The 27,259-nt window shown below is 38.5% G+C and overlaps 1 protein-coding gene across 5 annotated transcripts in view; it reads left to right on the top strand.

Annotated features, from left to right (window-relative positions):
* The window catches only part of FCHSD2 (FCH and double SH3 domains 2), a 305,574-nt gene that overhangs the window by 158,654 nt on the left and 119,661 nt on the right, over nt 1–27,259 (top strand). The gene's annotated exons all lie outside the window — the stretch shown is intronic.

Below are 27,259 nucleotides of genomic sequence, written 5' to 3'. Positions count from 1 at the left end.
TTTTAGCATAATTTTTGTTAGATTGTATCTGTATTTTTTGAAAAATTTTTATAAGAAAAGTTTTATGCAAAAGAATATTTCTATTAAAAATATATTTTTATAGTGTATCTCTTAGCCTGAATTTTTTATTAACTACAATTTTGGCCACAACTATGTCTAATGATAATTATGAAGCTTTTTTTAATTTTAATTTTTTAGAGACAAGGTCTCGCTCTGTTGTCCAGGCTAGAGTGCAGTGATGATCACGGCTCACTGCAGCCTTGAACTGCCAGGCTCAAGCAATCCTCCCGCCTCATCCTCCTGAGTAGCTGGGATCCAGGTGCATGCTACCATGCCTGGCACCTTTCTTTTATTTATTTTTTTTTTTTTTTGAGACGGAGTCTCGCTCTGTCGCCCAGGCTGGAGTGCAGTGGCGGGATCTCGGCTCACTGCAAGCTCCGCCTCCCGGGTTCACGCCATTCTCCTGCCTCAGCCTCCCAAGTAGCTGGGACTACAGGCGCCCGCCACTACGCCCAGCTAATTTTTTGTATTTTTAGTAGAGACGGGGTTTCACCGTTTTAGCCGGGATGGTCTCGATCTCCTGACCTCGTGATCCGCCCGCCTCAGCCTCCCAAAGTGCTGGGATTACAGGCATGAGCCACCGCGCCCGGCCCCTTTCTTTTATTTTTAGAAACAAGAGTCTTGCTATGTTGACCAGGCTGGCCTCAAACTCCTGGCTTCAAGTGATCCTCCCTCCTAAGCTTCCCAAAATGCTGGGATTACAGGTGTGAGCCATTGTGCTTGGCTATTTTTTATTTCTAAAAAAACTTAGATTTTTAAAAAATTTCATTACGTTTATCCTGAATTTATGGGTAAAATTGCACATTACTATTTGATGATTTTGAGCTGCGTACGGGACAAACAAAAGAGTATGTTCAGTAGCTATATGAAGATGTCTGTCCTCTGGGTATTACTCTGAAATGCAGATAGATTAGATTACAGTTTGTGTACCCAAACTTGATCTAGCATTTCCCTGTTTATACCACCTATGATGTGTCTTTAACTTTCACTGAAATAAAGAGAAGATAGTAGAGGAAAAGGAAACCTTTGTAATCTGTTGCCAGGTTTCTCCCTTGTTGCTGACAGGCAAGCTCTGCTTTGGATTGTATCTGTCATTCTTTCCTGTTTTCCCAAAACCCAAACATTTTATCATTTTGTTTTTTCTTATTTTCAACCCATCCCCCTCAAATGTATTGTTCTTAATGACTAACAAACACACACATTGCTGTAGTCGAATTGCTTAATTTACAAATCAGCAATTGTGAATGGGGATGCAGCCAGAGCAGGTGCTCTTTTTTCTGCAGTAGCTCTGGAAAAGAGGTCAACTCTGGCCAGAAACTGCAAGTTCTTTCCTTGAAAGTAGAGATGGGACAGTTCTCGGGACCTTCAGGCAAAAACAAGAGTGTTGAAGGGAGTCAAACTGGACTAAGAAGTATCCTATTGCAAAAACGTTTTTTCTTTCCTTTTTGTTCACTGCCTGAAATCCCCTTTTCCTAGCTTCTGTTGTGACTTCTGCTTATTAGAATACAGGTTAGAAAATATAGAGACAAGGAACTGTTTTGTCATCTCAGATGAAAACTCTGCATATATTTTCCATAAAGTATTAGACCTAGAGGTTTAGGTGTTTTAGTATATATAGTTTTTGAGACAGGGTCTCGCTCTGTCATAACAGGCTAGAGTGCAGTGGCTTGAACATGGCTCACTGCAACCTGAACCTCCTGGTCTCAAGGGATCCTCTTGCCTCAGCCTCCCATGTAGCTAGGACCACAGGTGCCTGCCACCATACCCAGCTAATTTCTTAATTTTTATTTTCGCAGAGGCGTGGTCTCACTTTGTTGCCCAGGCTATTCTTTAACTCCTGGGCTTAAGAGATCCTCCCACCTCAGCCTCCCAAAATGCTGGGATTATAGGGGTGAGCTACTGGGCCTGGCTGGTTTTAGTATCGTATTAGGTATTACATAGTGCTTCAGACTTACAAGGACCAACAGTTTCAAAGAACACATTTACTAAAGATGATTTTTAGCACAGCTCGCACTTAAGGTTGTAATTCACTATATTCTATATATGTCTACTATTATATCAAAGCTGTATATTTTTCCCTATGAATATTTTTAAATGAACATTATATTAACTTAAGCAACAGCAAAAATAAAATCCTATTTTTTTTCTATTGGATCTACAGCTAAAAAAGATGGCCTTCAATAAACCAGAGAAAGTACATTCTTATTTGGGGGATCTGCTCTCTGCCTAAAGCAAAGAGGAAGTTAAAGGGCCTGGCCAGCTCACAGATTAATATATGTTCTCGAACTTACTTTGAAGTCTTTATGCATATATTTGATCAGCATTGGGTAGGTCATGCTTTGGAGTATTCATTTAATGAAACATTGTGGGGTACTAAACTGATTAAAAATAGAGGCAGGGGTTGGTCCCTCCTGCCCCTTAAAAATGAGAAAACATACTTTCAGTTTTCATGTACTGTACATTAACTCATTTTCTTCCTCATGCTAATTCTATAGTCTGCAGTACAGGAAAACTCCTATCAATCATGCTGTTAGCTACTTAGTAAATTTCCACCATTGAATTGTCAGTGGCCCTTAGATGCCTTTCTTGAAAATATCTGTTTTTCTGAATTAATGTTAAGGAAATATCTATTTTTCTGAATTAATGTTAAGGTGATAATGCCCTATATGGGTAGCTTAAAAGCAGGGTATTTGATTTGTTGGTTTAATCATACACATTTAAGAGCCTCTTACAGCATGCTAACTACTGAGTTAGGCTTTGGGAAGAGACAGATGAGTAAGACATACTACTTATCCTCAAAGAGCTCAATATGGTAGAAGAGAGTGAGATGTATATATATACATACACATATATATACACACACATATATACATATATATACACATACATATATATACATACATACATTATATATATATATATATATATACACACACACACATACACATACATATATACATGATTGCAAATTAGAGTGATGGAAATCACTTACTGCTGGAGGACTGTGGTTAGTAATAATAATAGCTATCTTTTTTATTGCTTAATATTGCCTTGGCATTATCCTAACCATTTAATACATGTTATCCTTTCTCATTTTCTTTGTTATCCTCGTTAAAGTTCATAGCTCATTATTTAAATAATACTCTAACTTATATTCTTATCTTTGCCCTTCTTCAAATGAAATGAAATTGTAACTCTGATGAGCCCCCATAACTGGATAATCTGTATCTAAGCAGCCAAGTACTGCTGAAGAAAAGTTTCGACGGAGCAGATTCATGATCATAAATTAATAGAGAAACCAGTGCAGCAGTTTCAACACTGCTTAGATGGCCTACTGTCTTTTCCCTAGTTAACTTTTCCTACTATTTTTAACAGTTATTTCAACTTTTCCCCCCTCTTCAAACCTCAAACTTACCCCTTCTCTTTTATGCTTAGCAAGTGGGTTTTCTTCCTAATTTACAGAGACGATAGAAACCGTTGGAAGACAGCTTCAATATTGTCCACTTCATCTGTGTTGAAGACTCTTCCAGAGTCTCAGTAGCAGTTGTTCCTGTCTAAAGGTGATCTTTTCACCTCAGCTTTGGATTATATCTCATCCCCTCCTGCCTTCTTAGGGAACAAAACAATTATTTTATGTTCTTTTCGTATTTCCTGGACATTCTGTTCTTACATTAGCAGTTATCTTGGTGATAACAACCCTCATTATGACTGTCTTTTGAGTTACATTCTTCTAATCTGGACTAGTTGCCCTCTGTGTCAGATGCAAGTATTTATCCTGAGATCTTCCTATATGTCTTTGTTGTGTTAGATCTCCAGTTTTCTTTATGATATGTCTTATTTTTTTCTTGATTTATACTGTCCTTTGGTAGAGCACATCCTCCAGTACCTTCTTGCGAAAGTGGGCATGGGAAGTAAGTTTTTTGAGATACTATGTTTATGAAAATGGCATATTATTTGCTTGTACTTGGATATAGAATTAAAGGTTGAAAACTCTTTCATTGAAACATTGGAGTCCATACCTCATTGTTTTCTTCTTTACTGTGTAAGTATTGAGAATCCAAAGCCATCCTAGTTCTTGATTATTTGTATCTGATCTAATTGTTTGTTTTTTCTTTTTTTAGAAGTTTATGGAATATTCTCAGTGTACCCTTTGATTTCTTGGATTAATTCTTCCCTTTTGTTTTCTCTTTCTGGAACTTCCCATTATTAAGATATGATATCTCCTAGCTTGCTTCTTTAAATTTCATTTCTTTCTTATTTTCCATCTTTGTCATTATGTTGTACTTTTTGGGAGACTTCTTCAACTTTACAGTTTCTTTTATTGGACTTTTAATTTTTTCATAGTAGTTTTAATGTATGAGAGTTCTGTTTTCTCCACATCCTTACCAGCATTTTTTATTGCCTGTTGTATTAGTTCGTTTTCACACTGCTTTAAAGAACTACCTGTGGCCGGGCATGGTGACTTACACCCATAATCCCAGCACCTTGGGAGGCCGAGGTGGGCAGATCACCTGAGGTCAGGAGTTTGAGACCAGCCTGCCAACATGGTGAAAATCCATCTCTACTAAAAATACAAAAAATTAGCTGTGTGTGGAGGCATGCACTTGTAGTCCCAGCTACTCAGGGAGGCTGAGGCACGAGAATCGCTTGAACCTGAGAGGTGGAGGTTGCAGTGAGCTGAGATCGCACCACTGCACTCCAGCCTGGGTGACAGAGTGAGACTTCATCTCAAAAAAAAAAAAAAAAAAAAGAAAGAGCTACCTGAGACTGGGTAATTTATGAAGAAGAAAGGGTTAATTGACTCAGTTCCGCATGGCTGGGGAGGCCTCAGGAAACTTACAATCATGGTAGAAGGCAAAGGAGAATCAAGTACCTTCTTGACATGGGGGTAGGAGAGAGGAAGCGAAGGGGGAAGTGCCACTTTTAAACCATCAGATATCGTGAGAACTCAGTCACAATCATGAGAACAGCATCAGGGAAATCGCTCCTATAATCCAGTCACCTCCCACAGGGACCCTCCCCCGATATATGGGGATTACAATTTGAGATGATGAGATTTGAGTGGGGACACAGAGCCAAACATATCACCTGTCTTTTGGATAAAAGTCATTTGACCTGGGATGACATGCTATCTAATTATAGTTTTGATTTATGTTTCTCTGATGGTCAATGATATTGAGCACCTTTTTATATGCCTGCTTGCCATTTATATGACTTTTTTTGAGAAATGTCTATTCAGATTTTTTGCTCATTTTTATTTTTTATTTTTATGTATTTATTTATTTTTCTTTTTTTATTATACTTTAAGTTCTGGGGTACATGTGCACAATGTGCAGGTTTGTTACATATGTATACATGTGCCATGTGGTGTGCTGTACCCATTAACTCGTCATTTACATTAGGTATATCTCCTAACGCTATCCCTCCCCGCTCCCCCCACCCCATGACAGGCCCCAGTGTGTGATGTTCCCCACCCTGTGTCCAAGTGTTCTCATTGTTCAATTCCCACCTATGAGTGAGAACATGTGGTGTTTGGTTTTCTGTCCTTGCTGTAGTTTGCTCAGAATGGTGGTTTCCAGCTTCATCCATGTCCCTACAAAGGACATGAACTCATCCTTTTTTATGACTGCATAGTATTCCATGGTGTATATGCCACATTTTCTTAATCCAGTCTATCATTGATGGGCATTTGGGTTGGTTCCAAGTCTTTGCTATTTTGAATAGTGCTGCAGTAAACATATATGTGCATGTGTCTTCAGAGCAGCATGATTTATAATCCTTTGGGTATATACCCAGTAATGGGATTGCTCGGTCAAATGGTATTTCTAGTTCTAGATCCTTGAGGAATCGCCCCAATGGTTGAACTAGTTTACAGTCCCACCAACAGTGTAAAAGTGTTCCTGTTTCTTCACATCCTCTCCAGCACCTGTTGTTTCCTGACTTTTTAGTGATTGCCATTCTAACTGGTGTGAGAGCGTGCTCGCTTCGGCAGCACATATACTAAAATTCTAACTGGTGTGAGATGGTATCTCATTGTAGTTTTGATTTGCATTTCTCTGATGGCCAGTGATGATGCTTTTGCTCATTTTAAAAATCAGATTATTAGATTTTTTTTTCCTATAGAGTTGTTTGAGCTCCTTATATATTCTGGTTATTAATCCCTTGTCAACTGGATAATTTACAAATATTTTTTACCATTCCATGGGCTGTCTCTGCACTTTGTTGATTGTTTACTTTGCTGTGCAGAAGTTTTTTAACTTGATGTGATCCCATTTGTCCATTTTTGCTTTGATTGCCTGTGCTTACAGGGTATTACTCAAGAAATCTTTGCCCAGTCCAGTGTCTTAGAGAATTTCCCCCAATGCTTTATTTTAATAGTTTTGGGCTGGGTGTAGTGGCTCACACCTGTAATCCCAGCGCTTTGGGAGGCCAAGGCAGGTGGATCACAAGGTCAGGAGTTCAAGACCACCTGGCCAATATGGTGAAATGCTGTCTCTACTAAAAATACAAAAATTAGCCAGGTGTGGTGGTGGGCACCTGTAGTCCCAGCTACTCAGGAGGCTGAGGCAGGAGAATCGCTTGAACCGGGAAGTGGAGGTCACAGTGTGCCGAGATCATGCCACTGCACTCCAGCCTGGGCAACAGAGCAAGACTCTGTCTCAAAAAAAAAAAAAAAGTTTCATAGTTTGAGGTCTTAGATTTAAGTCTTTAATTCATTCTGATTTGATTTTTGTATATGGTGAGAGATAGGGGTCTAGTTTCATTCTTCTGCATATGGATGTCCAGTTTTCCCAGCACTTTTCCCCCAGTGTATGTTCTTAGCACCATTGTTGAAAATGAGTTCACTGTAGATGTATGGATTTGATTCTGGGTTCTGTCTTCTGTTCCATTGGTCTGTGAGTCTATTTTTATGCCAGTACCATACTGTTTTGGTTACTATAGCTCTGTAGTATAATTTGAAGTTAGGTAATGTGATTCCTCCAGTTTTCTTTTCCCCAGCCTAATTATTCTGAAGAATAAGATCAGGCCTGGCACAGTGGCTTACACCTGTCATCCCAGCACTTTGGAAGGCGGGGGTGGGAGGATCACTTGAGTCCAAGCGTTTGAGACCAGCCTGGGCAGCATAGTGAGACTTTGTCTCTACAAAAAAATTTAAAAATTAGCACGTGCTTGTAGTCCCAGCTACTCAGGAGGCTGAAGTGGGAAGATAACTTGAGCCCAGGAATTGAAGGCTACAGTGAGCTATGATCCTGCCACAGCACTCCAGCCTGGGTGACAAAGTGAGACCTCATCTCTTAAAAAAAGGAAATAAAAAGAATAAGTTCATGTTGATATCTAAATACAAGTATTTGGACAGATTCCCCAAGAAATACTATTTATTTCTTATGCCAGTAGTTACTAGAGCAGATACTGAATATATCTTTCTCTGTCTGTATATTATTAGGCAGATTTCTTTAAACTCTAAACTAAAACAAACAAACAAAAAACTATTGCTAGACCCTGGAAATCAGATAACTGATTTCATCAAATCTACAGAAATCAACTCAGCTGGTTTGTGGTGAGATAATTTGTTCCTCACATGTTCCTTTTTCATAGCATGTTCTTGTGCAATATATGAACTAACATTTTTTAGAAGCTTGTGAAATATTTTCTTTGTGGTTTGGATGAGGAAGAATGAGATACAGTGTGTCATAGTAGAAAAGAGAACAAACGTCAATTTAATGGAAGATTTTTTAAAAGCTTAGTAATTCTTAATAGGATTTATTTCTAGACAAATATTTCTTCAGTGGAAGCCAAACATACATTGACTAGTTGATAATTTGGTGAAGTAATAAAAGATAAACATCTTTCTGTATGGCAGAAATCTAGAAAATATAATTTGACTTATCTTTTGCAGACTTTTTTTGATCAAATGAAGAGAAAAACATTAATATACAAATCCTTTCTAAAATTGATACATAATAACTATATATTTATAGTGTATGTGTGATATTTTGATGCATGCGTACAATGTGTAAGGATCAAATGGGGGTAATTGAGATATCCATCATCTCAAATATTTATTATATATCATGGAGTGTTGAGAACATTTCCAAATCTTCTCTCCTACCTGTTTTAGAATATACCATAAATTATTGTTAACTATAGTCACCCTGCTGTGCTATTAAACAGTAGAATGTATTCCTTCTATCTGACTGTAATTTTATACCCATTAACCAACCTCTCATTGGCCCCACCTTCCTATCCTTCCCAACCTCTGGTAACCACCAATCTACTCTCTACTGCTGGATATATATCCAAATGAATGGAAATCAGTATGTTGAAGAGATGTCTTATAGCACTATTCACAATAGCTAAGATGTGGAATCAACCTAAATGTCCGTCAGTGGATAAATGGATAAAGAAAATGTAGTATATATACACAATGAAATATTATTCAGCCATAAAGAAGATTGAAATCCTGTCATTTGCAATAACATGGATGACCCTAGAGGACATTATGTTAAGTGAAATAAGCCAGGAACAGAAAGCCAAGTTCTTTTTCGGTTTTTCTGGCTAAGCATTAATTCCAAAAATCTTCCTCATTCATATGTAGGCGTATATAACTCATCTTTTTTATTTTGAGTTGTGGCTCTTCTGGTTTCTCTGTCGTCTCTAGCTCTTGTACCTCTGATTCACCTAATGTCTGTTTACTTAATTAATTAGCATGGAAGTCTTCAATTCTATTAAATTCTGCTTAATTCTGCTTTAATTCTGTTAAATCTCTGCTTCTCTTGCTTTATATCCTTTTTTTTTTAATGCCCTCTTTCTTGGAGAGAGTAATCATTTGACTCAGTTCCCATAAATACCATATGATTCTCAAATCTGTCTGCAGCCTGCCCTTTAATTATTCATATTTGTGCCTTTACCACTGGTACTTGTGAATACTGAAAGTAACTAAAAATAAATGCATTTTAAAATTCTGTTTCTCAGTCCCAGTAGCCATATTTCAAATGCTTAAAGGCCACATGTGACTAGTGTCTACCATGTTGGACAGTGCAGATATAGAACATTTTTGCCATCTTAGAAAACTCTGTTGAACAGCAGTGCTCTAAAGCTTATTTTGTTTTTACTTGTTATGGTTTGAATGTGTCCTCTAAAGTTCATGTGTTGGAAACCTAATTCCCAATGCAACAATACTGAGAAGTGGGACTTTTAAAAGGTCATTAGGTCATGAGGGCAGAGCCCTTATGAATGGATTATTGCCATTGTTGTGAGAGTGAGTTATTTATTACAGGAGTGGGTTCCTGATAAAAGGAAAAGTTTGGCCCCTTTCCACTTTCCCTCTTGTGTTCTGTTGCTCTTCTGCTTTCTACCATGGGATGATACAGCGTGAAGGCCCTTGCCAGATACAGGCCCCTACACCTGGACTTCCCAGTCCCGAGAACCATGAACCAAATAAACGTCTGTTGTTTATAATTACCCAGTTTGTGGTATTCTGTTATAGCAACAGAAAATGGACCAAAACTTTGTTTTCTTCCATCCCGCCCCCCGCCCTTACCTGTCTGTTATCAACTCTGCTGGTCATTTTTCCCAGTAACCACTTGGTTATATTTGATTATTTCACAATTAATTGCTCCTTCATTTGCACTCTAGGTCTTTACTTATATCTTGTTAAAGAACAGAGGTTGGCAAACATTTCTTGTAAAGGGACAGATAATAAATAGGCTTCTGTGTTGTGGTTACTCAGTTCAGCTGTTGCAGTGCAGCCATGAATGTGGCTATGTTCCAGTAAAACTTTACTTACAAAGCTGGATGATGGGCTGGATTTGGCCTACAGGCCTTAGTTTGCCCACCCTTGGTATAGAACTTTAAAAACTGTGTTATGAATGTTCTAACTATATAAATATGCTGAAAATAATAAAATGAGTACCCATTTACCCAACCACCAAGCTTCAAAAATGAAACACTCTCAGTACAGTGGAAATCTCCCAGGTGACCCCTCCCAAAACATCTCCCTTATGTTCAACAGATTGTAACTACCACTCTGACAATAGATAGTGTTGTCTTAGATAGTATCATGCCCTGTGATATTATGCAACTTGCATTTTTCTCACTCAACATTGTATTTGTTGAGATTCATTTGTATGAATTTTTAACTTTCTTTGTTATCTTTGCTATATAGTATTTCATTGTATATATATATCATAAATAACTTACCCATTTTCTTTTCTTTTCTTTTCTTTCTTTTTTTTTTGAGATGGAGCTTTCCTCTTGTTGCCCAGGCTGGAGTGCAATGGCACGATCTCGTCTCACCACAACCTCTGCCTCCTGGGTTCAAGTGATTCTCCTGCCTCAGCCTCCTGAGTAGCTGGGATTACAGGCACATGCCACCACACCCAGCTAATTTTGTATTTTTAGTAGAGACGGGGTTTCTCCATGTTGGTCAGGCTGGTCTTGAACTCCTGACCTCAGGTGATCCGCCTGCCTTGGCCTCCAAGGTGCTGGGATTATAGGCATGAGCCACCGCGCCCGGCCATAACTTACCCATTTTCTTAATGGAAATTTTAGTTGTTTATTGTTTTACTGTTACAAACAGTGCTGTTATCAACAGTCTTGTACATTCTCCCTGGCTCACTTGTGCTAGAGATTCTTAAGGGAATATACCTAGAAGTGGTATGCATTAGAAGCTGTACAAAAGAGTGCCAGCTTACAATCCTTTTATTGTACCTTTCAGCATTGTTTGCATATCATTTGAAGCTCGGGAAGCATTTGAGTTTGTACTAGGTGATAGGCACTTGGTGATACAGAGATGAATTGGATGTGATCCATACTGTCATTGAGCCAGAAACAAGGTTATTCTCTGGTGCCGCCCACAAGGGGCTTATGGAATATGGGGTAATAGATTCTTTCCCTGCTACATTGGTTATTTTATGATTGGTTCCCTGTGACTCAGAAAGATAAAATTAGGATGCTTCTTGTAAGTCTTTACCAAACTTCTAAAGTAATTATTTCGAAATATTTTTAGCAGTTGAACAACTTTTTAAAACAAACTCCTACATGGAATCTTTATATATAAAGCAGATAAAAGGGAAGTTATTTGGTTAAAGTTTGTGAGCCTGTTTCCTCTTTGTGTGTTTTCCCCACTCCCTATACCTGCCTGTGACATCCTCTACTTTCCCATGGTTCCTAAGGCATCAGGCTGAATACTAGGGCACCTTGAAATATAGTTTGGAAAGAAATGTTCTAAGACAGGATTTTCCAACTACCAAATTTCTTATAGAGGTCTAAGCTTTACCTAGATGATCTTAATTTTAGAGTTTTTTGAGGTAAACTCATAAAAATATAAATCAAAACATGGTAATCAGTTCACATCCTTCAGTGGACAGGTCTAACAGGTAATTGAATATTCTCATTTCAGAGTTTAATTTAATGTCTTGGGCTGGAGAATCAACAATAGATGAGGGGTACTGAAGCAGAGAATACATAAAACTATTAACGAGAGTATTGTATAGGGTGACAAGAGGCATAAGAAGAAAATTTTAAAGAGATTAACTCTTTTTAAATCAATTTTATTGAGGTACAATTAATATACAATAAGATGCATCTATTTTAAAATAGGGTTGGTTGAGTTTTGACAAATATGTATAACCATATTGTCACTATCATAATTGCAATCAATATCTAGAATATTTCTATCCTCCCAAACTTTTATCTCTCGTTCCTTTGCAGTTATATTTGATTTCCGTTGCTATGTAACAAATCACCACAAACTTAGACGTTTTAAACTACCTCCATTTATTATCTCACAGTTCTGTAGGTCAGAAGTCCAAGTAGGCTTAGCCAGGTTCTCTGCTTAGGGTTTCACAAGGCCAAAATCCAAATGTCACCTTGGCTGCATTCTTATCTGGAGATTCTGGGGAAGAATCTCCTTCCAGGGTCATTCAGGTTGTTGGCAAAACCCAGTTCCTTCTGGTTGTAGGACTTAACTCTGTTTTCTTGCTGGCTGTAGGCTGGGGTCATTCTCAGCTCCTAGAGGTGCTCTCAGGTCCTTTGTACATAATTCTCCATTACCAAGCCAGCAGTAGTGTGTCCAGTCCTGTTCATGTTTTGAATTTCTGACTTTTTTGCTACTAGCTAGAGAAAACTCTGCTTTTAAAGATTCATGTGATTAGGTAATCGCAGATAATCTCCCTTTTGCCATTTAACGTAGCATAATCACAAGAGTGATTATGTTCTACTGACACTCAAAGGAAAGGGGATTATACAAGGGCAAGGGTCACTGGGATCATTTTATAGTTCTGTCTACTTCAGCAGTCTTCACGTATTTTGTTAAATTTATTCCTAAGCATTTCATATTTCTCAATGTTACTGTAACATTTAGGTTTTAATTTTTCCTTTCAGTTCTTTTTATTAATATATAAACATATGATTGATTTTTATATTTTGACCTGTTCCAGTTACTTATAGTGTTACTCTGCATGACAAATGACTGTAAGGCTCAGTGGCTTAAAACAACAGCATTTAGTTTGCCTTCAAGTCTATACTTTGGGCAGGGGGGTCAGTAGGGATAACTTATCTCCGTACCACTCACATCAGCTAGAGAAACTCAAATGTGAAGGTTGAATTCTGAGGGCTTGCTATCTCACGTTTCTCATTAATGCTGCCTATTGACTCAGACCTTCCCGAGGCTGTCAGCTGGAGCTTCTGCACTTGGCTTCTTGGTATTGCCTTTCTCACAATGTTGTGGTTGGGTTCCAAAGGCAAATATGAGGGCAGTGGGGGTTAGGGGTATGTTTTGTCCCATTTTGTATACCTAACCCCAAAATTGGTGTTAAATGAGTGAGAAAGGAGAGGTTCAGCGGCCTTTCTTCATGGAAGTCTTTTCTTCATAGAAGAATTCGCATCTCACCAGGCTTTGTATGTGAGTGGGATGTCGGCAGGCTGTGGCAGCAGACAGTGGCATTTCACAGGGATGGACTTTTATGAAAAGGGGAGTGAAAGTAATGCACAGAAGAAACCAGTGGCTCCATTAATCTTGGAGAGAGCCATGAGAGTGCTAGCAATAGTTTTTAAGTGAGGTTGAAAAAAATTTGACCTTGAGGAAAGAATTCTAAAATGCCACTAAAGTAGCTTTGATTTTTTAAAACCAACCAGGTTAAAATGTGAACACATGATTATTTGTTATCTTAGTTTTAAATGCAGTTTTCTATAACACATGATATTTTTCCATTACCTTTTATTGTAGGGCTTTTAGATAAAAGACAATTTTCATACATTAGAATTGTAAGTATTTTTACTCACTGGATTGTAGACTGTTAGGTTTTGGTAGTGTTCTTAGATTCTGTAATATTTATTGTTGGTTAAAAACTTGAGGTGGTGAGCACTGTTAGCATTAATTTTGGGGTTAAGAAAGGAAGTGGTATATGTATTATCTGTTCAACATTCTTAGCCATTTGTGGCTTTAGTGAGTTTTCTTGCTTTATCAGTCATTTATCAAGTACCTCCCTCTAGTTTTCTTTTTCAAACCACTTTGAAACAGCAAGTTGGGTTCATTTTACTGGTATTCTGATGACTGTTGATTGTGGTTCTCAGGCTGATGTAATCATGTCACAAAATACAATAAAGATGATATTCCATCACTGAGGTGCTTAGTCACAGATTAAAATAGTCCCTGGCCACAGACAAGTCTTTTTCTGAGCCCAGTCCCCTATTCCTGTAATAATGAGGGTCAGGTCTCACTTGTGTGTATTTGGTCGTGTTGTACCTAGCATAACCAATGTGTGTGTTTAAACTTCATCCAATAAATCACTTAAGCCTAAGAATTTTGCTTCTTTATCACAAATAACATAGTGTGGAGTTTGCTGAACTCTATTTTCAGACATGGCTTTATAATTTCTGACTTAATTGCATGTTAAGCCATTTTATTTGTTTTCTTATTAAATTAACTAGTCAAAACATACCGTATTTCATTGATTCTAACATTTGGGCTTTTTTCTAGTCTTTTAATGTTTTTTATATCTTCGATGCTTCTTGTATTCTGTGGTGTCTTAAAGGAGGATAATTTTGCCTAAAGTTCCACTTTGTGCAAGGCACACAAAGAAGTAAGGAAATGGGACAAATACTCTCTACCCTCAAAAAATTAAGACAAAGATTCATCTTTTTGTCTCTGTCCCTCTCAGTGTTTTTCTCTTTCTTTCTCAGACACATACTCTAAAAAATTAACTGAGGTGGCAAAACCTAAATGCCAACTAGCTTTTCTGCACAGTTCTAATCCGATTTTTATTCCTGATATAAATAACTTAAAGCCAAATTAAATTAAATGAAACCATTCTAACATGATCCAAGAGGGAGAAAGTCTGTAGGTGAAGATAATAAACATTGGAATGCAGCTCCGTCTCTCATAAGGTTTTTGAAGGGAGTAGGTAGACTGTTAACACTGATTTTGACATGGCTACACTGGACAGTTCAAGTATTAACTTAGTGCTGACAATGAGGAGGAGACATCTGGAGTCTGAGAAGACCAGCCACCTAAGTGATACCCCAGGTATACTATTTTAAATTGATTTCAAAGAAAATCTATATGAAAGGTAGTAGCATATGTATATATGTGTGTATATCATTAAAACCATGTTTTTCATATAAGATGAATCACTGGACAAAGCCTTAATATTATTACCTATCAGTTTTGAAGGAAAGGATAACTGGGTTTTATTTTTGTTTTGTTTACCAATTTATAGAAATATCTTTTAATGTTACTATAATAAAACCATTAAAGCACCAAGGAGAAGTGTTGGTCAAAGGATGAACCTTGGGTACACAGAAGCACTGCTGGTCTCTGGAGTGAGGATGACTGGTCAGAGCATCCTGACTTCTGTAAGCAGGCCTTATGCTCATGGGGTATATAGTTTATAGCCTTTAACCCTGCCAAGAACAGAGAAAGTTTGCAGGGCTTCTGAAATTCCATGCCAGCACTATCATTTTGGAAATCAGAATAACCCCCCATTTATGGATATTGTAATTTATCATCTGTCAGCATAATTGGAAATATGTATTATTTGGCAAGAAGAGTTCCTCTTCAGGGCTCTCCATTAAGATACATGTGCCACAGTTATTCTGATCCTATGTATTGGAATCCCAGCCCTGGTTAGTCCTCATGGATTATCTTTCAATGAGACATCAAGACATAACTACAGGTAAGATAGCACATCTGAAAAATAGCCTCTGGAGAGGAGTAACCGTTTCTGAACAAAAGCTTAGGTCAACCTGAAGGTATTTTCTAGGAAACAGAATGATAAATTATAGTTTCAAATTAAAAGGCAAAGATCTATCAGTCTTAAGGACAGAGTACCAGTGTTATTTATCTGTAATTATTTTCATTTGTTCAGAAAGTAATTTTGGAGCATCTACATTGTACCCTACATAAAACCTTCAGTGGCTTCTTATCGCCCTTAGGATAAAATTGGAAAACCTCAAGATAATTCCAAAGGCCTTATATGCTCTGTTCTCTGCCCACTTCTTTTTTTTTTTTTTTGAGACAGAGTCTTGCTCTGTTGCCCAGGCTGGAGTGCAGTGGTGCGATCTCGGCTCACTGCAAGCTCCACCTCCCAGGTTCACGCCGTTCTCCTGCCTCAGCCTCCTGAGTAGCTGGGACTACAGGTGCCCGCCACCATACCCGGCTAATTTTTTGTATTGTTAGTAGAGATGGGGATTCACCGCGTTAGCCAGGATGGTCTCAATCTCCTGACCTCGTGATCCGCCCGCCTCGGCCTCCCAAAGTGCTGAGATTACAGGCATGAGCCACCCGCACCCAGCCTCTCTGCCCACTTCTTTTTAAAAAAAATTAGATATAATTCACATACCATAAAACTCACCGTTTTAAAATGTAAAATTCAGTGGTTTTATTATATTTACTAGGTTGTACAACCATCACCACTATCTCATTCCAGAACATTTCTGTTATCCCCCAAAAAAGCTCTATACCCCATTGGCTGTCATTTTGTGTTCTCCCTACTCCCTAGTTCCTGGCAACCACTAATCTGCTTTCTGTCTCTGAATTTTCCTCTTAATGGTCATTTCATATAAATGGAATCATACAATATGTGGCCCATTTGTGTCTAGACTGTTTCACTTTGCATGTTTTCAAGGTTCATTCATGTTGTAGCATATATTAGTAATAGTACTTTATTTTTTTTTGTACCTGAATAATAGTCATATTGATATGGATATACCATATTTTGTTTACCCATTCAAAAGTTGATGGGCATTTGGGTTGTTTCCACTTTTCGGCTGTTACCAGCCTATCTCTATTCTCATCTATTTCCCCCACTACACAAGGGTCTTTTTACATATTGCTCTTACTGCCTAAAACAATCCCTCTCTTCACTATCCTCATTTACTTTCTTAACTTTTTTTTTTTTTTTTTGAGACAGAGTCTTGCTCTGTCGCCCAGGCTGGAGTGCAGTGGCGCGATCTCAGCTCACTGCAAGCTCTGCCTCCCGGGTTCACGCCATTCTCCTGCCTCAGCCTCCTGAGTAGCTGGGACCACAGGTGCCCGCCACCAGGCCCGGCTAATTTTTTGTATTTTTTTAGTAGAGATGGGGTTTCACTGTGTTAGCCAGGATGGTCTCAATCTCCTGACCTCGTGATCCGCCCACCTCAGCCTCCCAAAGTGCTGGGATTACAGGCGTGAGCCACCGCGCCCGGCCACTTTCTTAACTCATAATCAGGGTTCACATCCCAGTCCAAATCTACTTCTTTAGGGAATCCTTCCTCAAACTATATCATATTCCTCTATTATATTTTCTTCTAGCGTCAGGTTTTTTTCCTTCAAAATAATCCTTGTAATTTATAATTATATACCTGATTGTATTGTCTCTTTGCCTTTTCCTCCTACCTTTAGTGTACTATAAACTTCATGAAAGCAAAATTGTGTTTTCTGCTCACAATTGTATCCCTGGAATCTAGCACAGTAACTGACATATATATCTGTTGAATGTATTCATGCAGGAATCTGTTTGCATCATTAAGTACTAGGGACACAAAAATGAAAAACCAGTCTCTTTGCAGGGAGCTTGCAGTGAAGCTATGCAGGCAAGTAAGTATTTTGTAAGAATAAATGCTGTAATTCCCGTATTAGTATAACAAAGTAATATGCTCAGTTTAGTCCGGGTGTGGTGGTTCACACTTGTAATCCCAGCACTTTGGGAAGCCGAAGCAGGAGGATCACTTGAGATCAGGAGTTCAAGACCAGCCTGGCCAACATGACGAAACCCTGTCTCTACTAAAAATGCAAAAATTAGCTGAGTGTGGTGGCGGGCACCTGTAATCCCAGCTACTCAGGAGGCTGAGACAGGAGAATTGCATGAACCCGGGAGGCAGAGGTTGCAGTGAGCCGACATCGCACCACTGCACTCCTTCCTGGGCGACAGAGTGAGACCAACTGAAAAAAAAAAAAGGCTCAGTTCAAAGAAGAATAATAAAGTGAACATCTTCCTTCTTGCCCTGTAGATGTATCCATCACGCTGGTAGTTATATTAAATGTTCCCATGCTTTTCTTTATTGTTTTATTACACAGGAATTTATCCATAAACAATGTTGTTTATCTTCTTCTCTTGCCTCATTGTTACTTTATGTGAATAGAATCATGTTTCCTGCCGATGTTTATATTTTTGAGATTGTATCTATATTGATACATAGAACTGTAGTTCATTCATTTCCCCTCCAGTATTGTGTTCTGTTTTATGACTGTATTACACACAGCATGGATTAATCCTGGTCATGAGGTAGAGCAACAGAATCTTATCACAAGAGATGACATACTGTGTGATTCTATTTATATACTTAAGAACATGCAAAACTAATCTGTGCTAATAGAAGTCAGAACAATGGTTATCTTGGGTGAGGGGTGTACATAGAATGGGAAAGAGTGCCTTCTGAGGTGTTGGAAATGCTCTAAATCTTGATCTGGATGGTAATTACCCAAGTATAATCACATTGAAGACTTATGAAGAGTCACATTTACATGTTATACTTTAACAAAAAGTTTCAGAAATAAATACATGAAAATATTGAGTTTTAAAAAAATACTATAATGGCAGTATGTACAAATGTAATTAGAACATAGGAAATAGAAGGAAAGTCACAAAAGGCTTTATAGAAGTAGCTTTTAAGTTAAGACTTATTTTGTCTCACCTGGTAGAATGTAAGGCATTGAAAGGAGGAACTGTGTATTGTTTCCTACTGTGTTTTAGTGCATAGAAGAGCGCTCAGTAAAAATTCATAGAATTGAATCAAATTTAGTTTTCCTGGAAGACAGGCAAATGGAGAACTTTCCAAGTATAGAGGCAACAATAATTCTGGGCTACAGATAGAAGTAGTTCAATATTTCTACAGTATAATGTACAGCTGGAGTGTAGCAAGAGATGAGGCTGGATTCTAGGAAGTTATATGAATGGGGTTGTATCCACTGTTAAGAATTGTTCTACAGGCAATGGGGATCTATCAAAGACCTTTGAATTAAGAAGTAAAATGATTGGCCAGGCGCGGTGGCTCATGCCTGTAATCCCAGCACTTTTGGAGGCCAAGGCGGGCGGATCATGAGGTTGGGAAATTGAGACCATCCTGGCTAACACAGTGAAACCCCGTCTCTACTAAAAATACAAAAAATTAGCCGGGTGTGGTGGCGGGCGCCTGTAGTCCCCGCTACTCGGGAGGCTGAGGCAGGAGAATGGCGTGAACCCGGGAGGCAGAACTTGCAGTGAGCCGAGATCCTGCCAGTGCGCTCCAGCCTGGGCAACAGAGCAAGACTCCATCTCAAAAAAAAAAAAAAAAAAGTGAAATGATCAAATTTACATGTTTGGAAGGATTACTCTGGCAGCAATATGAAAGGCAGATACTAATAGCAAGAATACCAGTAAGGCTATTACCATAAAGACCTGGGGCTGTGGGTTGTAAAGGAGAAAGAGGTAGATTCGGAAGTTAACGCAGAAGATTCTGCTGCTGATGATGATGATAGAAGTTAACATGAAGAGAGTGCTTACTGTATGTCAGGAACTCTGCTAGACTCCAGACGAAAAGGCAACAAAAACACAGCCCTTGCCCTTAAGGAATGAAGAAGGCAGATGTGTACTGTTAGAGGCATGTACACAGTGTGGTAGTAGCACAAAGGGGAAGGAATAACCAACCCCATCTCAGGGAGTAAAGAAGACTTCTCAGACGTGGTTACATTTGTGTTGGGTCTTAAAAGATAGATGGTATAATGACATCAAAGAAGAGTTATAATGACATCTTAAGCAAAGGGAAGAGCCAGTGCAAAGACAATAGTACATGATTCGATGTGATGAGAACATAAGATTGGAACCATCAACCAGTTGTTCATTTTCCTGTACATATTGCACTGATTTTTTATAGTCAGGATATATTTGTTTTTGTTTCTTTAAAAGTAATTCTCTTGATTTCTGTTACATCATTTCAATCTTTAGAGAAATATTTGAATGCTGATTGTGTCATCCATAATATTAACTATATTATCCATGTTTGTATCATCCATAAATTTGATAGGCTTTCCTACTATTTATTCCTTCAGGGATTAGTTAAGTCATTGAAATGGATAGAGCCCTCTGGTTACTTGGTAAGTAAAGATCTACTTCCAAGTTTACCCATCTATTAATTAGCCATTGTTATTCAACTGTGAAATCTATTCATGACACAGAGTTGTCATCTAATCCAGGGTCCCCAACCCCAGGGCCTTGGACCTCAGCAGTCCATGGCCTGTGAGGAACCAGGCCGCACAGCAGGAGGTGAGCCGAGGGCCAGTGAGCATTACTGCCTGAGCTCCACCTCCTGTCAGATGGGCAGCAGAATTAGATTATCATAGGTGTAAGAACCCTATTGTGAACTGCGCATGTGAAGAATCTAAGTTGCACACTCCCTATGAGAATCTAATGCCTGATCATCTGAGGTGGAACAGTTTCATCCCAAAACCACCCCACCCTACCCATCTGTGGAAAAATTATCTTCCACGAAACTGGTCCCTGGTGCCGAAAAGGTTGGGGGCTGCTGATCCAATCCACATTTTTTTCAGTCTTGTTCTTAATCACACACAGCATAATGGCTAAAGAAGAGAAGTTTTTTTGAGCAAGGCAAATTTGGTTTGACTCCTGGTTTCACTGCTTACCAGTTTTGCAGCCTTGGGAAAATTATTTCCCTTCTGTATGCCTCACTTAGCTCATCTGTAATATGAGGCTGCTAGTAAGTATCCCAGATTGCTTTAGGAAATCTAAATGAGATAGTGCGTAGTAAATGCTCACTACTTTGCCAGGTATATAGTAAGCACATAGTAAATGGAAAAGTAGTCATCATCATTATTGCTATTAATAAGATGTTATTTAATTTTAAAATTTTTATTGAGGGTCTACTATGGGCCTAACACTGTTCTGGATATTTGAAATACATCAGTGAAACAAAGACAATATTTTTTTAAAAACACACGTAAAGTACTGAGTATATGCTAGGCACTGATCTAAATAATTTGCTTTCATTAGCCTACCAACTCTCTGTAGTAGGTGCTATTATTATCCCTCTTTTACCAAAGAGGTAACCAAGGCATAGAGAGGTAACTTGCCAGCTCACACAGGTAAGCAGTTAAGTGGTAGAACTGGAGTTTGAACTCAACCAGTCTGGCTCCAGTGTGCCTTCTCTTAACCACTGTGTAATACTGTCACTCATCCAGAGTCACTTCCACTGATGCCTGCTGAAATCAAGATATTTAACTTTTGTGGCAGTTCTGTAATCTATTGACTCTAATTGCTTAAAAAAAATAGGAGGGACCTTTGTGATATCATTTTGGTGTGATTTTTTTTTTTATTTTAACCTGTGCTGGCTCCTGATGATTATTGGTATTTTTTAAATTACAAAGCTATTTGTTTAACCATCTTTTCCAGAATTTGATAGGAAATCACATTAAGCTTACCTCTCTGTCATTTGTTTTACATAAAGAACATTCTTAGTTTAAAAAAAAAAGGGGGAATTTAGTTCATATCCTTAGTTGACAATGGTTGAAGAAAAACATCTCAAAAATCACTTAGTTTATATAAAGTATATTTTGTAAACTCCTGTTCTTTTTACAGTGAATATCAATCGCTTATACCAGAGGTTCTCAAACGTTTTTGTCTCAGGACCTCTTTACACTCTTAAAAATTATTGAGGAATCAAAGAGCTTTTGTTGATGTAGGTTATACTTATTGGTATTTAATGTATTTGAAATTTAAACTGAGAAAATTTAGAGACACAAGAATGCCCAAGTACAGATTTCATTAGCTGTCAGAGCGATTGCATCATCACGTTATTCAGCCTCTAGAAAACTATACCACATACTTGTGAAAGAGTGGGAGTTAAAAGGGCAGACAATGTCTTAGTATTATAAAAATAACTTTGACCCCACAGGTCCCCTAAAAGGGTCTCAGAGATTCCCCCCAGTGGTCCCTTGATCTTACCTTGAGAACCTCTGCCATATACTAAATAAACTTATTACTGTCTTCAGTTAGAAGAAACTCTAAGACTAAAATTGAAGATCTAGAATTGAATATTTCAATGGAATTCTTAGGTTTCAATAACAATGCTTATTAAGGGTTATCTAAATGTATTAGATACTTTCAGGGATGCAGAGATGAAACAAATACAACTTCTTTTCTCCAAGAGCTTTCTTGTTACGAAATGTGGCATTTACACATCGAGTTGAAATAGAGTGAAAAGGGGTGACATGTTTGTTGTCACAGTAAACAAACTACATACCACTAGACTCACCTTTGCAATTTATAAACTAAGTTACATAATTCTATAAAATATTTTTGACTATTGATGATTCTCTTGACATGTGATTAACTATAAACAAAAATGACAGCAATCTTTAGAGATCATTGCATTTTGCTTTAGGCTAGTATATTTAATAACTTGCTCTGAAAGATTTGGGCAAACAGGGTAGGGAATTGCTGTCTTCAAGTCACTTTAGATTCATTTCTCAAAAGTATCCATTTCTGAACTACACATCCGCATTTAAAACAATAGTAGGCCAGGTATGGTGGCTCACGCCTGTAATCATAGCACTTTAGGAGGCCAAGACGGGAGAATCACTTGAGGCCAGGAGTTCAATATCAGCCTGGGCAACATAGTGAGACCCCATCTATTAAAAACAACAACAACAACAACAACAACAACAAAAAACTTCTTAAAAATAAACCAGGCATGATGGTACACATCTGTAGTCCTAGCTACTTGGAAGTCTGAGGTGGGAGGATTGCTTGAGCCCAGGAGTTCGAGGCTATAGTGAGCTATGATCCCACTCCAGCCTGGGCAACAGAGTGAGACTCTGTCTCAAAAAACAAACAAAAAGTACTAAATACAGAGAAATACAATTCAAAATGACCTAGAAACACCTGGATTTGATATACTTGTAGAGCAGCTAAGAATTGGGAGGGCAGATACCACATTTTAAAACTGAATATTAAAGAATAAAAACAGGGTGAAAAGTCACAATGTTGGCGATGGAAAGCATTAGGTTTGAGCAGTGCTAAGGCAGCCTCACATGTGTGTTACCTCCCCATTCCTAGGTCACCATTTTCTATTTACCCTACTCTGCAACCACTAAAAAGTGCTTTAGATCAAAAGTAGGAAAACATAGTAAGTGAGAGGTATGTGTGCCTCTTTCCCTAAGCATAATTTACTTTCTCTGTCTTCACCCCCAAATTTCTGGCTCAGTCTTCTTATCTACAACTTGGGAATTCTTTTTATTAAAGCCTTTCTTTACCTGTATTCTTATTATCAGAGTGTATTTCACACCCTGGGGTTCTTTATTATGCCCTGTCCCTTGCCCCATACCCTTTCTCCACATCAACTCCCAACATTATCAAAGCAGAGAGAACTTTCTGGTGGCTAACAGAATGGATACTATTTTACTAGAAATCTTTGTAACTTTAAAGGAATGGGAATGGCAAATAGGTTTCAGTTTATGTGTCAGTTGTAAGAAATTAATAGCAGCTGCATGGAACACTGGACCAAGAAGTATTATGAAACTGCTAGGCTCAAGTGCCATAATCCATTATCAGTCACTGTCATAGGTGTGAGAAGAGTGAATGACAGCACATGGACTCCACATTTGAAGCCCCCTGACCTAGCAGATCTCTGCCTTTGAATCCATTTAAATCCAAAGGAGCAGCAGACTAGAGCATATATTCCATATGATATAGTTTGGATATTTGTTTCTTCCAAATTGCATGTTGAAATGTGATCCCCAGAGTTGGAGGTGAGATCTAATGGGAGGTGTTTGGGTCATGAGGGTGGATCCCTCATGAATCGCTTAGTGCCCGCCTCACAGTAATGAGTGAGTTCACATGAGACTGGCCATGGCATCTCCCCTCCCACCTTGCTCCCTTGTGACATGCCTGCTCTGCCTTCGCCTTCCACTATGACTGTAAGCTTCCAGAAGCCTCACCAGAAATAGATCCTGGCACTGTGCTTTTTGTACAGTCTGCAGAACTGTGAGCCAAACCTTTTTTCTTTATAGACTACCCAGCCTTACATATTCCTTTACAGCAGTGCAGAACAGATTAATACCCTATATTAATATGTGTTTGAAGTGTGTAGGTTTCTTCCTATATATCTGTGCTTTTAAAACCATCTTCCTCAAAGTTAGACTGAGGTCAGTGCATTGAAATATCTGAGGTATATTGATATCACACATACACACACACACACACACACACACACACACACCCTAGAAACTTAAAATCAGGGAAATTTGAAGTATAGTTCTACCTCTGCTCATCAGCATATAATGTACATGATCTGTCTTGATCTCAGTTGGACCAGTGCCTGACATTTAATATTAAATACTTCTATTGCTCCTTTCAGTAAACACATAGAAAGCTATTGGGAGCAGGTGCGTTGAAATGTCTATCTTAGCAATTTATTGAAACCAAGCCCACATTGTGTGGAGACTTTTTATTTCATGTGGCACCTGACTGACTGTAGAAGCAACCCTAAATTGACGGTCTCAGAGTAGACTGAGCCTTTCTGACTAAAAAGACTGTGGGGCCAGGCGTGGTGGCTCACGCCTGTTATCCCAGCACTTTGGGAGGCCGAGGCGGGCGGATCATGAGGTCAGGAGATCAAGACCATCCTGGCTAACACGGTGAAACCCCGTCTCTACTAAAAATACAAAAAAAAAAAAATAGCCGGGCATGGTGGCGGGCGCCTGTAGTCCCAGCTACTCGGGAGACTGAGGCAGGAAAATGGTGTGAACCTGGGGGGTGGAGCTTGCAGTGAGCCGAGATCGGGCCACTGCACTCCAGCCTGGGCAACAGAGCGAGACTCCGTCTCAAAAAAAAAAAAAAAAAAAAAAAAAAAGACTGCTGGATATATGAAGTGGAAAAGAAAGAATAACAGGGAAACCAGGATTGAAATTTCTAAAATGGGTAAAGAGTATTGACAGAATCATACAGACCATCTAAGCCTGTGAATCTCAAGTGGCTTGTCTCTCCTCTTGTCCTCCCAAGATTCTGATATGTAAGGAGATGTGTGTCCCATGCACGCATGGATGTACACACACACACACACACACACACACACACACATATCTTACTGATGAGTATATGTAATATCCTGTAGGAGTGCCGAAGCAAGAAAATAATTGAGAGACTTATCTATTCCAGTGCTTCTGTTTCCATAGATGGAAATGGGTAAGTTGTTTTGGCAGACTAGAATGTCCTTTTATGAAACAAGAGTCTGAATTTTGTGTTACTGTTTATTTTTTTCAACTTTTAAAAAGATTATTTCTTAGGGAGATTTGGTTAAAATAGATAACTTTTTTTCTTAAATCTGATTACTTTTAAGTGACTATAGATAAAACTTGGGAAGGAGATAAGAGACCTTTCTCTGAAGGTAGATTTTTAATAAAAGGAGAAAGTGGAATTGGTGAACTTGAGGTCGAAACTGATGGATCAGTATAGGAAAATATTGAAATACTCACTTATTAGATTTTGTTCCGTGGTGTTTACATATAGAATCCAACAACTGTTTTTTGTTGTTGTTTTGTTTTGTTTTGTTTTTTTGAGATGGAGCCTTGCTCCATTGCCCAGCTGGAGTGCAGTGGTGCGATCTCAGCTCTCTGCAGCCTCCGCCTCCTGGGTTCCAGTGATTCTCCTGCCTCAGCCTCCCAAATACCTGGTACTACAGGTCAGCACCACCATGCCCAGCTAATTTTTATGTTTTTGATAGAGACAGAGTTTCACCACATTGGCCAGGCTGGTCTCAAACTCCTGACCTCAAGTGATCCGCCTGCCTCAGCCTTCCAAAGTGCTAGGATTACAGGTATGAGCCACTGCACCTGGCCAGAACTTGTCACTTTTGCACTCTAGTCCTTAGCTCCAAAGGTTTTCCTCTGACTTGATTTAAAGCAAGCCATCTTTCCCCTTTGTAAAATAGTGGGAACACTTATTGCTGAGGTTTTCATGTGAAATGAAGCCAAAATATTTTAAGATTACAACAGAGTACATTAAAGTAGTTAAATGGTGAGGTAAGAGTCGTGTGTTTAGACATATATGTATCTGTAGATTCAGATATTGTATACATTTATCATTCAATAGAAATGAAGAATAGGTTTTTATGTTAACTTTTTAAAATAATTTATGTTTATATAATTCCAAACTTGTAGAAAAATTGCAAGAAAGTACAAACTCCTATATGCCCCAGTTAACATTTTGTTCTGTTTGTTCCCTCTCCCTCACTATATATTTATGTGCTTGTGTATATATAAATATCTATATCCATTATCATTATTCTTTTTCTGATCCATTTGAGAGCAAATCGTGAACATAATGCCTCCTCACCTCTCAATACTCCAGAATTTATATCCGCCATGCAAGATTACTCCCTTACCTAGCTATCCAAATCAGGAAATCAACATCAGCAGATACTACCATCCAAACCACAGACCCAATACACATTTTTACGAGATGTTCCAAAAATATCTTTTTTATTTCTGACTTGAGATCCAATCCAGGATCATTTATTAAATCTAGTTGCCATGTCTCTTTAGTCTCCTTCAATCTAGAAGAGTTCCTCAGTTTTTTTCCTTTTATGACTTTGACAGTTTTAAAGAGTAGAGTCCTTGGAACCAACCCAAATGTCCAACAATGATAGACTGGATTAAGAAAATGTGGCACATATACACCATGGAATACTATGCAGCCATAAAAAATGATGAGTTCATGTCCTTTATAGGGACATGGATGAAACTGGAAACCATCATTCTCAGTAAACTATCGCAAGAACAAAAAACCAAACACCGCATATTCTCACTCATAGGTGGGAATTGAACAATGAGATCACATGGACACAGGAAGGGGAATATCACACTCTGGGGACTGTGGTGGGGTGGGGGGAGGGGGGAGGGATAGCACTGGGAGATATACCTAATGCTAGCTGACGAGTTAGTGGGTGCAGCGCACCAGCATGGCACATGTATACATATGTAATTAACCTGCACAATGTGCACATGTACCCTAAAACTTAAAGTATAATAAAAAAAAAGAAGAAAAAAAAAAAAAGACTAGAGTCCTTTGATTCTGTTGGATGTCTGTCAGATCATGCATTCTTGGCAGAAATACCTCAGAAATGATGCTGTGTCTTCTCTATGTATCACATGAAGAAGTGCATGATGTCAAACTGTCTCACCCCTGGTGATATTAATATTGGTCACCTAGTCAATTTGGTGTCTTCTAGGGTTGGTTTTTTTTTTTTTTCCACTATGAAATCATCATTTTTCCCCTATGCAATAGTGCTATGGTCTGAAGTTTCCCCAAAATTCATATGTTGAGGTCCTGACCCCCAAGGGGATAATATTAGGAGGTGGGGTCTTTGATTAAGTCATGAGGGCAAAATTAGTGCCCTTATAAAAGAAGTCCCAGAGAGACCTCTTGCCCTTTCCACCACTTGAGAAGCCACTGTCCATGATCCAGGAAGTGGGCCCTCACCAGACACCAAATCTGCTGGCGCCTTGATCTTGGATTTCTCAGTCTCCAGAAGTAAGAGAAATTAATGCTGTTGATTATAAGTCAAAGTTGATTATAATAACCTGTTGATTATAAGTCACAGTTTATGGTATTTCTTGTATCAGCCTCAACAGATTGAGACAAATAGTATTTTGTGGGGAGACTCTGCC

This window comes from Homo sapiens, chromosome 11 (assembly GCF_000001405.40).
Source record: "Homo sapiens chromosome 11, GRCh38.p14 Primary Assembly".
In the NCBI taxonomy this organism is placed as follows: domain Eukaryota; kingdom Metazoa; phylum Chordata; class Mammalia; order Primates; family Hominidae; genus Homo; species Homo sapiens.
The sequence above is the reverse complement of the archived record's forward strand: the minus strand, read 5'-3'. Positions and strand labels throughout refer to the sequence as shown.